General features: G+C 47.7%; 1 protein-coding gene across 14 annotated transcripts in view, besides 1 other annotated feature; it reads left to right on the top strand.

Moving 5' to 3' along the window:
- The window catches only part of SRGAP3 (SLIT-ROBO Rho GTPase activating protein 3), a 382,437-nt gene that overhangs the window by 245,133 nt on the left and 123,179 nt on the right, over positions 1 to 14,125 (top strand). For all 14 annotated transcript variants that reach the window (XM_024453843.2, XM_047449335.1, XM_047449333.1 and 11 more), the window contains one exon: positions 13,053 to 13,215. In XM_024453843.2, coding sequence (XP_024309611.1) covers positions 13,153 to 13,215 — 63 coding nt within the window. In that variant the 5' untranslated portion in view covers positions 13,053 to 13,152. The remainder of the gene's footprint in view (positions 1 to 13,052; positions 13,216 to 14,125) is intronic.
- Positions 11,898 to 12,654: an enhancer, noted in NCBI's record as "H3K27ac hESC enhancer chr3:9146925-9147681 (GRCh37/hg19 assembly coordinates)". NCBI's record gives its function as "activates a minimal SCP1, AML or CMV promoter by ChIP-STARR-seq in primed H9 embryonic stem cells {active_cell/tissue: H9 hESC(primed)}" and the evidence as "EXISTENCE:reporter gene assay evidence [ECO:0000049][PMID:30033119]".

Raw genomic sequence — 14,125 nt, 5'->3', positions numbered from 1 at the left:
CTCTTACCTTAGCCACCCAAAACACTGCGATTATAGGCAGAACCACCGCACCTGGCTCTCCCCATGATATTTACTAGTATTTCACAAACTAGCACTTCTTGAGACCTAGTTTGAAAATCTCTGTTCTAGACAAATGCTGGGGTTACCCTCTGTAGTAGTGACACTCCATGCAAGTAGTGCCCTGTGTTTGGGGTGACAGAGTCCCCTTCTATTCTAGCTTTCTCAGTTTTTGATACCCCTCACCTTCCAGGAGCTGTACCTGATGAAAATGCTCCATGCAGAGGGTTAAGTGCTGGTTGCTGCTAGTTTAACTGCTGTGAAAAAAAGCAGCAGGGAGTTCTATTTAAATATGATTTAAACATTTGGGAAAAGCCAGAATTTGGGAAGTGCTGGGAGGCACTTGGCTAGTTAGGGAATAATATTCTATGCAGATATCCTGTGCAAAGGAGGTTTGGAGCATCTTTCAGCTTCACAGAGCAGTTGGGAGAGAGGATTCCTGTGAACAACTAACTTCATTTCCAAGAAAACACTTCTTAGCGGGGATAAAGCATCACAGGATTTTTTTCACAGATGTAGCAATTCTCTAAAGAGATGCTATAATTTAGACTTAGCCTTCCAGGCTATTCCTAAACAGAGAATCACTTTTGTAGCATATAAATTGAGCATATAAATGTGAAAAGGAGTCAGAATTAAAATGTTTGCTTAGAATGAGATGGAGATGGAGAAAGCCCTCCAGTAGGGCTTGTGTCTCCATTCACAGCTATTACTATTACTGCGATTGGTATCAAGCTAGTAATGGCTTTCTGGGGTCCTACTTTCCAGACCTGCTGTTCTCTCAGCACCGTGTGCCAGCTGGATCTTTCCTGATTGTTTGGTGCCTGTGCTGTGCAGGTCGTTTACTCTTCCAAGCACCCCACACATCCACATCACCGTGGACCAAGTGCTGTACTGGATGTCTGATAGGCATCATCTCATTGCACCTTCATGGGAAATGTGGTCTGTGAAGAAGGGGCTGTCTTTATCTTTCTAGGTGAAGACACTGAGTTTTCGAGAAATTAAGTAATTTGCCCAGAGGGACATAGCTAGCACAGGTGAGTGGCAGAGCTAGGATTCCAATCTTTGTTTACCTGACTCCAAAATGCAAAACTGCATCTAGCTGCTGACTTTGTTCCCTCATCTTTCTGGGCTGGCTTTGAGCTTCTTGAGAATTACCCATGCATGTCGACCATATCCTCCTTGGATGAGCATCAGGGGTTTGCTATTATCCTCCTGGTCAACTCCTACACAGAGGCCAGCTTAGGGCTTGCCTTCTTGGTGAAGCCCCTGCTGTTGGTTGATCCCAAGTCTACAGTCAGCTGCTCCTCTCGCCTCCCATGTGAGTTGTGTGGGGCTTGCATCAGATTATCAAGGAGTGATCCAGTTCCTATATCTGGTTCTCTCACTTCAGTCGGCCAGCTGCCTGAAGGCAAGGGACCATTTCTAGTCTCCCTCTCTCTGGTATATAATTGATGCTTTATCAAAGTTTTTTCAGTGAATGGCTGAATTAACCAAGACACTACCAAATGCTTTCTTTAAATATATTTAACAAATAGACTTATTTTGTGTGGCTGCGAAAGGAGATAAATGATGTCCGAGGATAGCATTTTCAGAGAAGCAAACTTCAATTCAACCTTAAGGACGTTCCAGTAGCCACAGCTGTCCATCAGTGAAAGGGCTGCCTGGGGAGGTAGTGAGTTCTCAATGCACAGAGGTATACACACAAAGGCTGGGTATTTTAAGGGTGTCATTTCGGTAATATGGATGATCAAAATGAAAGGGGATTCTTGATAACACAGGAACCATAAATATTGAATTATCTTCTCAATTCTCTTTCAAGGTTTCTGGTAGCCTGGAGGAGAAAGTCTCAGTTTGGTCCTAGTGTATTGTTAATGTCCTCCAATCTCCTTTTTAGCAAATAGAGAACAGACCTCAAGATTGAATATACTGTTTGGTTTTTGTTGAATTTAGTTTTTTGGTTACCTTCTATTTATAACAAACCATCCTGTTTTTTTTAAAGCTGAAACTAGGGAAGTTCTTTGTAAATAAATTTAAGTTAAAAAAAGACATCAACAGGGAGATATTAAGTGTGGTGGTGTGCAGGAATGGCAAAAATCCTGAAGCCAGCATCAAATCACTCTAAGTCCCATTCCAGTTTCTCCTGCAAAGTGAGCATCTTTCATCTTTACCTTCTTTATCCTCCACAATTTTTTTTTTAAATGAGGGGAAAGGATTTTAACATAGGAGGCTCAGCCTGAAGAGTGGATTTTGCAATGGCTGTAGCTCCTTTATCTCTTTCCAATGTTTCCATCTGGCTCTTTCCCAGGTCCCACACCAAATTCCCTGGAATCCTCAGAGACTCTAATCAGCAACTACCAAAGCATTAACTAGGACGTGATTTCTTTATGCATGCATATACTTTGATATGCATATATACATTTCTATCATTTAATTTTTATACTAGAAATGAAAAATAGATGTAAAAATTAGATTTTCACAAACAGTAATATGTACGGGTTTAGTTTTGATGCTATTCTATTAGGCAAATAGGATAATAATAACCTTCAAAGACTATATAGCACCTTACACTTTGCAAACTCCTTCCTCAGCCCTTAGCTGCTTAAATCCTCCCAAGAACCCTGGTGAGAGTTGAAGGAGTCAAGGAAGGTGTTGTCATCCCCAACTGATAGGCAAGGGACCAACTGATAGGCAAGGCAGGGTGAACCCTAACTTCAGACCCACAGCTGACCCGTGAAAGAACTGACCCAGTTTTGCATTTTGGAGTCAGGTAAACCCAGATTGGAATGCTAGTCTGCCACTTACCTGTGCTAGCCGTGTCCATCTGGGCAAATGACTTAATTTCTTGAAAACTCAGTGTCTTCACCTAGAAAGATAAAGACAGCCCCTTCTTCACAGACCACATTTCCCATGAAGGTGCAATGAGATGATGCCTATCAGACATCCAGTAGAGCACTTGGTTCACGGTGATGTGGATGTGTGGGGTGCTTAGAAGATTAAATGACCTGCACAGCACAGGCACCAAACAATCAGGAAGCCATGGATCGGGGTCTTTTCCTCTGCCTAGTGCTACACATGCCACACGGTGCCACCCATTCTGTGGGCAGATAAACCAAGGCAAAGGGGCTTGCAAGGAAAGAGTTGAGGTTGACCAGGCATTGCCTATGAGGCAGAGTTTTTTGCTCTGATACCAAGAATCCATCCAGAAAGTCAAAGGGGAGCTCAGAGGTGCTGCTGGACACCAGACACCAACGTGTACCCTCATGCTGCAGTGTGAGGAATGGGATCACAGAGGAAGCAGTGAGCCCGTGAATCATTCTGCCCTGGGATGAAGGGGGAGTCACAGGGACATTTGCACTGAGCATTGAAGTTCACATAACAGTCTGCAGAAGGAGAAAGTAGTAATGGAGGAGAAAAACCAATAGTTTTAGAACACTTATCATAGGCTGTTTGTCTATGTACATCAGGCCTTAGATCTTCCCAACAACTTATTGAGGTGCTAGTGGTAATAATGGTAATGACAATAAAAAGTACTATTATGTGCAGGGTTTGACACCAAGAGAATAGCATGGGTTGTGTCATTTAGTCCTCCAGGCACCACTATGAGGTAGTCGTCACTTCGTTTCACAGATAAGGAAAGAGAAGGTTTAACTATAATAACTTTCCAAGTTCACTTTGTTGGTGAGGGACAGAATTGGCATTTGAACCCCAGCCTCTTGACTCAATAGCACCCCAACTGATAAGCAAAGCCTGCTTTGGCCAGGGGACTCAATGGATGGAATTAGTCCCCTTCAGGATGACTCTGTCTCCGGGCTGCCAAATAGTGCCAGAGCTAGGCCCTGAACTGCGCTCTCTGGCTCCCAGCATGGCAGCCTCACACTCCTCGGGGGACTCCTGGTGGGTGGGGGATAATAAAGTAAATATTTATAAAGTAATTTATAAAGAAAAGGGGTTTAATGGACTCACAATTTCGCATGGCTGGGGAGGCCTCAGGAAACTTACAATCATGATGGGAGGCACCTCTTCACAGGGCAGCAGGGGAGAGAAAGAGTGCCCAGTGAAGGGGGAACCCCCTTATAAAACCATCAGATCTTGTGAGAACTCATTCACTATCATGAGAACAGCATGGGGGAACCGTCCCCCATGATTCAGTTATCTCCACCTGGTCCCACCCATGACACGTGGGGATTATACTACAATTCAAGATGAGATTTGGGTGGGGACACAGCCAAACCATATCAGGGTGGAACTGTGTCCCCTCAAAATTCCTATGCTGATGTCCTAAACTCCAGTACCTCAAAATGTGACCTTATTTGGAAACAGGGTCTTTATAGAAGTAATCAGATAAAAATGAGGTCATTGGGAAGGGCCCTAATCCGACATGACTGGTGTGTATCTTTACAAAAAAAGGAACTTTGGGCACAGAGACCAACACACAGGGAGAATGCCTTGGAAAGGTGAAGGCAAAGATTGGGGTGCTGTGTCTACACCAAGGACACCAAAGATCTCCAGCAACCTACCAGGAGCCAGGAGAGAGGCCTGGGACAGATCCTCCTTCACAGTCCTTGGAAGGAACCAACCCTGCCGACACCTTGATCTCGGACTTCCAGCCTCCAGGACTGTGAGACAACACATACCTGTTGTCTGAGCCACTCTATGGTCCTGTGTGACAGCACCTACAAAACTAGTACGCAGCCCCATGCACGTCTTGTCCTTCAGGGCCCTGGCTGTGCTACATGTTCAGTCTTGTCTGACCCTCATCCAGTCCCTGTCTGCCCTCTGGCCACACTCACTTTCTGTCAGTTCTAGATGATGCCCGTGCCCATGAGGGCTTCATGCTTATTTCTGGGAATGCTCTTCTTTATCACTGTGCTGTGTTAAAACCTACCCATCCTTCTAGTCTGAGCTCAGGGGGCACTTTTCACCTACTCACAAATATTTTCTGAGAGTGCCTGTGTGCCCAGGTTGGCCTGGGCACCAGAGAAGCACTGATGAGTAGGACAGACATAAGCTAGAGAGGGGACAAAGACCAGAAGCAAAAAGGAAAAGAACACAACAAGCATCAGGTGTGGAGTGCTGTAATGACAATGACATAGTGTGACATAGGGTGTGTGGGTGGCCAGGGAGGCATCCAGGAGGAGAAATAGCTCAGCTCAGGTCTCAGTGATGAGAAGGACCCCAGGGTCCCCTGATGCTCCCTCCCCTCCGCCTTCCCCAGGAGAGGGCAGCCCCCTGTTAAAGACTCTCCAGGCTCCATGTATTTCTCCTTCAGAGCCCTTCTTCCCGCTGCCATTTTCTATTGATTTTTGTGATTATCTGATTGTTATCTGAGACCCCCACTAGACTGTAAGCTCCACGAAGTGGGAAGTGTGGCTCATTTTGCTTACCATTGCCTGGCACAGAACAGGCACACACTTACTATTGGCTGAATTAATGATTCATGCTACAAGCAAGTGCAATGAATGCTGAATCCTGCTTGGGGCAGCTTAGGTAGCAGGAGGTTAAATGCACCTTTCTGGCCACAGAACTGATTGAGTTAGCATTTCTCGGACGCAAGCCCAGTGTGAGGCCTGAGAAGGTCCTGGAACGGGGCAGGAAGCCCAAGCAGGAGCTTGCCTTCCTCCCAGAGGGACCCTGATCCCAGGGCAGTGGCTTTGGATTCATCTGGAACATGGGACTCTGCAAGCTTGGAAATGGGTTTTGTTTGCTAAGCGGAATTTTCCGGCCCTCAGCCGAGAAGCTGGAGAAACTGGCTCACTGCTAATTTCATTTTCCCAACTCACTAGCTTGGCAAGGCCTGGCTCCCCTAGCTGCAGTCTCCTGGAACCTCATATCCAGATCCCCTAGCCAAAGAAAGAAAGCTGTGACTCACCAGAAATGTTCATTGCTATTTTCTGGCCATAAAAAAAGAAAATAGATACATACATATGCAAAATTTCTAACGTGATGTCTTAGTTCAGCAGCTTCTGCTTGCTGGGTCGACGCTTGCATGAAAGATTGGAGAAGCGGAAGGGTCACTCTGAGTGCCTTGGCCGAGGGCACTGGCCCTCATTCATTCTGATGTCTTCCAAAAATGAGGCTGCAGAAGACAAAAGTGGCTGCTGGCACAGAGAGCTGGATCTCAGGTCAAAGGGGTTCCACTTTCCAAAGGGGCAAACAACCCCAGGAACAGGGAAGGCAGAGGCTCAAGTTTTCTGCAGCCTGGCGTCTGGCTCTGCGGTCTGCGGCCCTCGTGCTTCCTCCCTCCTGCAGTCCCATTGTGAGCCAGATGGGGGCAGGATGGAGTGTGTGAGACCCTGCAGGCCCCTCCAGCCTCACTCTTCACCCTCTTCCTCCTCTGCCTTGCCTCCCACTCCAGCCAGGCTGTTCTTTACTTAGTTCCTTAAATGCACCAGGCTCTCCGCCCTGAGGCGCCTTTGCCCATTCTGTTCCCTCTGCCTAGAGCCTTCTCCCGCCAGCCCACCTGCCCAGCCCCTTTCACTAGCGCCCTCCAACTCTTCCTTTGGAGCACAGCTTAATGACCTCTTCCTTGGGGACACTTTAGTGACCCACAAATCAGGCCAGCCCCCTTATTACAGGCACTCATGGCACAGGCTCCCCTCTGTTCCAGCACATTCTGCACTTCTAACTCTACCCACATTCGTGGGCTCATGGTAGGTGTCTGTCTCTTCACCAGACTGTCTGCTCCATGAAGGCAGGAACTGTGTCTGTTGGGCTCAAGGTTGTGTCCCTGGGGTCTGATCTATACAAAATATTCAACAAAAATGTATGGAATGCATGAACTGCTGAAGAATGACTGCAGAGCTCTCTTCTGGCATTTAAGCCCAGAGTGACTCCATGGTGTGAGTGGCCAGGCTACAGGGAATAGGTGGCCTGCCCGGAGTCCACAGCTAGCATGGCAGACGCCGGTGAACACCCATGCCCACGTCCAGGTGGCTTTCTGTTCTCTACTGCTGTGCTGAGTCCCACCTGTGGGCCTTCTTCTTTCAGATGTGGTAGAGCCTGCCTGGTACCATTGTGGCCAAGGCCACACATGCTAGCTTTCTACAGAGCAGCTCTTGACCCTGGCTGTGGACAGTTCACCCCAGCCTTTTAGACTACAAATGACCTGCCCCACAGGAGGGAGCCAGGGCTGGGAGAAGGTGGGGGTGCAGACCCAGCAGTTTCCCATGCTGGGATGGACCTAGAGAATGGGCCGCTGATCGGACGGCAGGCCTGGGACAGCATCTCAGAGGAGGCCAGGCTGCACATTGCCCCATCTTGCCCTCTTTTAGGGAAGCAGGAGGGGAGGCGCCACCGCGGCTTGGCCCTGCCCCAGCCCTCCGGCCACAGCCTTGCCATGCTTCCCGGGGATTGACCTCTTCTGCCATGTGGCCACAGCATTTGTAAAGCCTTCCTTGTTGTTCTGTGGTTTTAAATAGCATCCAACTCCTTGCTGCTGGCTTCCATGTTTGTCTCTCCAGCCCAGATAGCTCCATCTGGATGCCCCACAGCCTTTTAGACTCGTCGTGTTCGACTCGAACTCATCATCCTCCCTCCCCGCCCCACCCTTGACCTGCTCCTCTTCATCTCCACAGAGGCTCCTTCTACTCCCCCAGGTGCCCAAACCAAAAACTGGAGAGTCATCCTGGACATCTTTTGCTCTCTCTCAACTTCCAGCCCTAACTCCATCCCGTCAATCTCCCTGTCCAGTCAATTTCCTACCTAAGCCTTTCTTGAATCCCTCAGTTTCTCTCCCGGCCCCTGGCTCTGTACAGCAGCCAGAGTGAGAGTTTGAAAGTGCAGTTTTACCCTTTCACTCCCCTTCTGTAAACCCTTCAAGGTCTGCCTGCTGACCTCAGGACGGAGCTTGAACTCTAATGAGAGTTAAAGGCCCTTTCCCAAGTGGCCCCTGCCTCAGTCTCCATGTTCACCTGCTGTCCTCACTCTCCTACCCCAAAACACCATGCTTGGGCCCCCTCCCTACCTGCTCCTCCCTCTCCTGCTCCTCCCTGGGCCTTTGCTCATCACATTTCTCCCCTTTGAAGGCTCCTCCCTGTGAAACTCCAGTCCGGCTTTTAGTTCTCAGTCTAGAAAGCGTTTCCTCCAGGAAGCCATGCATGACCAACCTCACCACCAGATCTGGGGAAGGAGGCTCCTCTCTGCTCCATAGCCTCCTTCCCATGACTGCACTGATGAGGCTGCCTCATCACTTTCTGTTCCTTGTGAATCTCCTTACTCAAGTGGAAGACTTGCAGGGCAGGGTCTTGCAGCCTTGGTTGCTCCTGCACTCGCAGCACCTAGTCCTGCCCAGCACAGACACACAAACGCAAGGAGTGAACGAGGGCTGGAAGGAATCTTCACAGCAGCTGCTCACTTCAACTTGAGTCTTTGGCTGCTTTCGGGTAACATCCTCCTCCTTGCCTTGGCTCGCTCTGCCTCCTGCAATTCTGTCTTATACCGCACTGCCTCCTGGCTTGCAGCTTCTGATAAGGACAGCGCTGTGCTCTCTGCCCTTCCTCTCATCTCATCTCTCTGGCTAGATGACCTAGTTAATGGTCCCCAAACTGTCCCAGCAATTCCCCATCAGTTCCAGATCAGTTGTCTTTTTCCTTCCCTCTGAAACTCACCTTCTGGCTGTGGCTTCCATAATTTTGCACAATTTAATTCCCTGGTGCTGTTCACTTCTTGCCTCCCAGGTTCAGCTAAGCCCCTGAAGTAATTTAGGTAACAGCTCAATTATCTCATCTCTCCTTTAATCTTTCCATTTCCATCACCACCTAGGAAGCAGTGAAAATGAGATAAGCAATGCATTTTCTGTCCAAACCTACTGCTCCCCTTGCAGTTCTTATCTCAGTTCATGTCATCAGCATCTACCCAGTCGCCTAAGATCTGAGCCTCGGAATCACTGTCTGCTCCTTCCTCCTCTTTCTGCTGTTTTCCAGGAAGTTTCCAAGAGGATCTGCTCTCCTGTTGAGAAATCTCTCAAGTCCATCCTTCGCTGGCTACAAGACCACACCCAGGCCTCACTATTTCTCTTTTGAACTAAGATTACCTCCTGCCTGGTCCTCTTACCAAAAGCCCCATATCCCTGCTCATCCACCCACCCACCTACCCATCCATCCCTTCATCCTCCAATCTGCCTTCCATGATCATGCCAAAACACATGTTGGTTATATCCTACCTCTGCTGAAATAACTTCCATGACTCCCCACTGCCCATAGCAGACATTCTTATTTATTTTAGAAACTGGGTCTTGCCTATTACTCAGGCTGGAGTGCAGTGGCATGATCATAGCTCACTGCAGCTTCCACCTCCCGGGCTCCAGTGATCCTCCCACCTCAGTCTCCCAAGTAACTAGGACTACGGGTGTGTGCCACTATGCCCAGCTAATTTTTAAATTTTTTGTAGAGACGGAGTCTTGCTATGTTGCCCAGGCTGGTCTTGAACTCCTGGACTCAAGTGATCCTCCTACCTCAGCCTCCCAAAGCCCTGGGACTCAGGCACGAGCCACTGCACCCGGCCTAAAGCAGGCATTCTTAACCCTGGCTGCACATTAGAATCTTCTAGAGAGTATAAAAATATGAGTACCACGCGCTACCCCCAGAGATTCTGATTTTGTCTTGGATGGGTCCTGGGTCTTGGTGTTTTTTTAAAAGCTCCCCAGTTGATTCTAGTGTACAGGACAGGTTGAGAACTATGTGGTCTAGAAGATAAGGGGTCCCACCCCCTTAGTCTGGCAGTCTCCCCCAACATTGGGCCTTTAATCTGTATCCCCAGCCTCATGTCCTACAGTCCTCCACTAACACACTCAGAATTCCAGCTCTTCTGAGCTACTTCACTATATTTGTACCCACTGGTCCTTCTACCCACAATTCCATCCTCTCTCTGACTTCTGACCATTTGGAAAACTCCTACCCATCCTTCAAGACCCAGCACAAATGCAGTCTTTTTTCATGGGTCTCTCTTCCATAGCATCTGCTACATGGCAGGCACATTGCTGGGTGCTGGACGTGATGACACAATAGAAGTGATCCCTGCTCTCAAAGAGCTCACAGTAGGGTGAGGGGGAGGGATGGAAACTCCTTAAGGTAGAAGTTCTGTAACTTGAGTATGCATCCAAATCACCTTGAGAGTTTGTTAAAACACAGATTCTGGGCCCAGCCCTAGGGCTTCTGAGTACACGTAGTCTGGGGCTGCCCTGAGAACTTGTATTTTCAAGTTCCTAAGTGATGCTGCTGCTGCTGGTTCAGGGGCCACACTGAGAACCACTGCCTTAGCGTGTGGTCAACGGGGTGTTCTCTAGGGAGGTATCATCTAAGCTGAACCTACAGTAATAGAAACAGGCATTCATGAGAAGAGCAGGGACTGTGGTATTCCAGGCAGAGGGAAAAGCGTCCAGGCCCCAGTGGGAATAGAAGAGGCCGCGTGCCTGGTACCCAGAACACACTGGAGGAGAACGATGCCTTCTGCAGCTTCTCCAGCAGAACTGATGCTCTGCGTATGTCTCTGTTATAGACTGGAACCACCTTCCTCTCTAATTCTTTTTTTCTGATGCAGCCACTCAGCAGTGAGCCCCTCCAAGGCAGAGTGTGCATCACGGCCACCTTTGGGTGCCCAGAACCCACCCAAGACCTGACACAGTAGATGCTGAGGGATTCTAGTTGGGGTCTAATTGTAGTGTCCTGGCTTTTACTCTAGGCTATAAGCCAAGGAGAAATCTGGTTGTTTCACAGCAGTGTTGTAAATGCTTCATCATCCTCCCTTTTCCTTAGATAGTTCCCATCCTTTATCTAAATCTAATTATCTTCTCACAAATTTCTGCTGCCTAGATAGATTTTTAGCACATTTGGTGAGAGAAAGAAAAATTCCTTGAAGTCAAGGTAGCCCTGCCCCACCTACCTTCCCAAGCCCCAGGAGATAGGGAGAGGTGGGGTGGTGGGGGTGGGGTGGGGACAGCAGTTCAGGGGTCCTTCTGCTTGGCTTTGGGGAGGTGGATGTGGTCATAGTGGGAGTCAGCAGAATTGCTGTATTAGTCCATTTTCACACTGCTGATAAACACATACCCAAGAGTGGGAAGAAAAAGAAGTTTAATTGGACTCACTGTCCCACATGGCTAGGGAAGCCTCAGAATCATGGTGGGAGGTGAAAGGCACTTCTTATATGGTGGTGGCAAGAGAAAATGAGGAGGAAGCAAAAGCAGAAACCCCTGATAAGCCCATCAGATCTTATGAAACGTATTCACTATCACGAGAATAGCACGGGAAAGACTGGCCCCCAAGACCATTCCCACAACATGTGGGAATTCTGGGAGATACAATTCAAGTTGAGATTTGGGTGGGGACAAAACCAAACTATATCAATTGCCTTCCTCAAAAAACGCTAATAGTGGGAGGCTGTGTTTTCTAAGAACAGAACCTTGGCCAGCTCCTGGAGGTGGTCCACACTCAGGACAGGGGTGGGACAAGGCAGGCCTGGGGGAACCCTGGAGCTGCCACCTCAGGTGGTGGAAGGGCCTCTCCCCTCACATCCTGCCTTTCCAACATCTCTCTCCACACTGGAAAGGAGTCAGGGAGATACCCTGGGTCAGAGGGCAAGAGCTTTAGCATAGGTGCCCTGCGTGGCAGGAAAGGGTTATTGGTTTGGTTTTGCTTTTGAATTGACCTTTCTCTTCCTTCCTGGATAACAGGGTGTATCCACCCTTTCCTGAGGCTCACAGAGGGGTCTTTGGCAAATACAGATGGTCCTTAATTTAACTATGGGTTGACTTATAATTTTGAGAATTTACAGTGTTGTGAAAGTGATACACATTCAGTATAAACCGTATTTCAAGTACACATAAAACCATTCTGTTTTTCACTTTCAGGATAGCATTCAACTAATTACATGAGATATTCAACAGTTTATTAGAAAATAGGCTTTGTGTGCAATGATTTTGCCCATCCGTAGGCTAATGTGTTCTGAGCACGTTTAAGGTAGGGTAGGCTAAACTATGATGTTCCGTAGTTTGGGCTTACTAAATGCATTTTCAACTTAGGATATCTTCAACTTGTGAGGGGTTTATTGGGATGTAGCCCTGTAGTAAGTTGAGGAGCATCTGCAGAGCCAAGAGACAGATTTTCTCTGGTCTCATTAGCATCCTGAGCTTTGGGAAACAATAGTATAAGGATCTGTGGTTCTCAGACTTGAGTGAGTATCCGAATCCCCTGGAGGGCTTGGTAAAGCCCAGATTGCAGGCCCACCCCCAGAGTGTGTGACTCAGCAGGTCTGGAGTGGGACTGGAGAGTCTGCATTTCTAACCAGTCCCCAGGTCATGCTCTTGCTGCTGGTCTGGGAGCACACTTTAAGAACCCCTGCTTCAGCATCACACCCAGCTAGAGAGTGCTAATAACCTATCAGTCATTGCAGGACAAAGGGTTATTTGTCTTGTAGGTACTTGCATTTTCCTTAACCCTTCCTCCTGAACACAGAATCTGAGCCCTCCTAGCCCCTTTCCCAACAGCTCCGTGGAGGGGCAAAGGCATGTGTTTCCAAGAGGCCAAGAGACAGAAGCCAATCCCTGGGGAAGAACAAAGAAGTTAAGAGCCCAAGAAAATTACAGGGGTTGAGGCAGGCAGAATGGGGGAGTGGAAGTATCTACTTTTTGTTCTTTCTATTGCATAGTTCCAGAAATCATACAAGTATAATATTTAAAAAACAATTGGTTTAGTATTTCTTAGCCCCAGGGGAGGTAGCTTCTTCCCAGAAGGTAGAGGTACCTGGAGCAAGCACCACATTCAGTGCTAGAGTAGAACCGCATAGGCGTCAAAGACCTGGGTTCTGGCCCCAGTGCTGGTCTGTGACCTTGGAGGATCCCTTCAGCTGTTGTAGCCTGTTTCCCCAACTGTATAAGGTGTAACAACAAGACTGACCTTGAAGGGGCACCGTGGAGGTTAAAAGAGCTGAAGTGGGTGACAGCATAAACCACTGTTGGATGACAGTTCCAATGTAGCCAACCTGAGCTTTCTTGGTTTCCACAGGAAGGACCAGTACCTCCTCTCGCCTGTGAACTGTTGGTATCTGGTTCTGCATCAGACCCGGCGGGAGAGCCGAGACCATGCCACCCTCAATGACATCTTCATGAACAATGTCATCGTCCGCCTCTCCCAGATCAGTGAGGATGTCATCAGACTCTTCAAAAAGGTAGGCAAGTGGGCTGCTCTACGTGTCCCAGGTCTTTGCCCCAAGCTGGCCCATGGTAACAGTATACCAGCCAGGGTGGGATGTGGTTTGGAGACAAGGGACCAGGAGGGGCAGGTGCATTGAAGGATGCAAGTGGCTGAGGGCTGGACTTGGGACCCCAGCCCATTTGAACCCTGGATGTGCCTTTTAAAGAGTGTGTAGTCTTAGCCACTTTAGCAACCACTGCCACAAAAATGAAAACCTTTGCATGGCTAGGTAAGTAGTACATATTCATTGTAGAAAATTTTAAAGAATGACGATGAGCACACACACAAAAATTAAAATCACCTGAAATGGCATTGTTTGGAGATAATCACTTTGATATCCTAGGAATTTCTCGTGTACAAACGCAAATGCATTTTCTGAGAGTGCTTAGATTTGTATATTTTCTAGTGTACACATGCATTTTTTCTAAATCAGATCATAATGCATATATGATTTTACTACCTGCTTATGTCACCTAACAAATTACGTAACACTCTATTACATTTTCCCACATCAATAGTATATTTCTATAACATTTTGAATGATTACACAGTATTTCATTATATAGATGTACTCTATTTAATCTCTTATTGTTGAGCACTTAGTTTATTTCTGTTATTTTACTCTTATAAATAACACTGCCGTGAGCTTCTTTGTCACATTCGCTGTTACTTTCTTAGGATCAGTTTCTGCAGTGGGAATTTTAGAGTCGAAAGTATGCTCATTTTTAATGCTTTTGACAGTGTACCTTATTGCCTTCAGAAAGGTTTTACCCATATAAACATCCAGAAGCTGAGTGTGGAAGGAGCACTGAGGTCTCTGTATCCCACGTTCCTTGCACAGTGCCTGGCATGTACAAGGTGCTGTGCAAATGTTTGTAGAACTA

Source organism: Homo sapiens, chromosome 3 (assembly GCF_000001405.40).
Source record: "Homo sapiens chromosome 3, GRCh38.p14 Primary Assembly".
NCBI classification, from domain to species: Eukaryota; Metazoa; Chordata; class Mammalia; order Primates; family Hominidae; genus Homo; species Homo sapiens.
The sequence above is the reverse complement of the archived record's forward strand: the minus strand, read 5'-3'. Positions and strand labels throughout refer to the sequence as shown.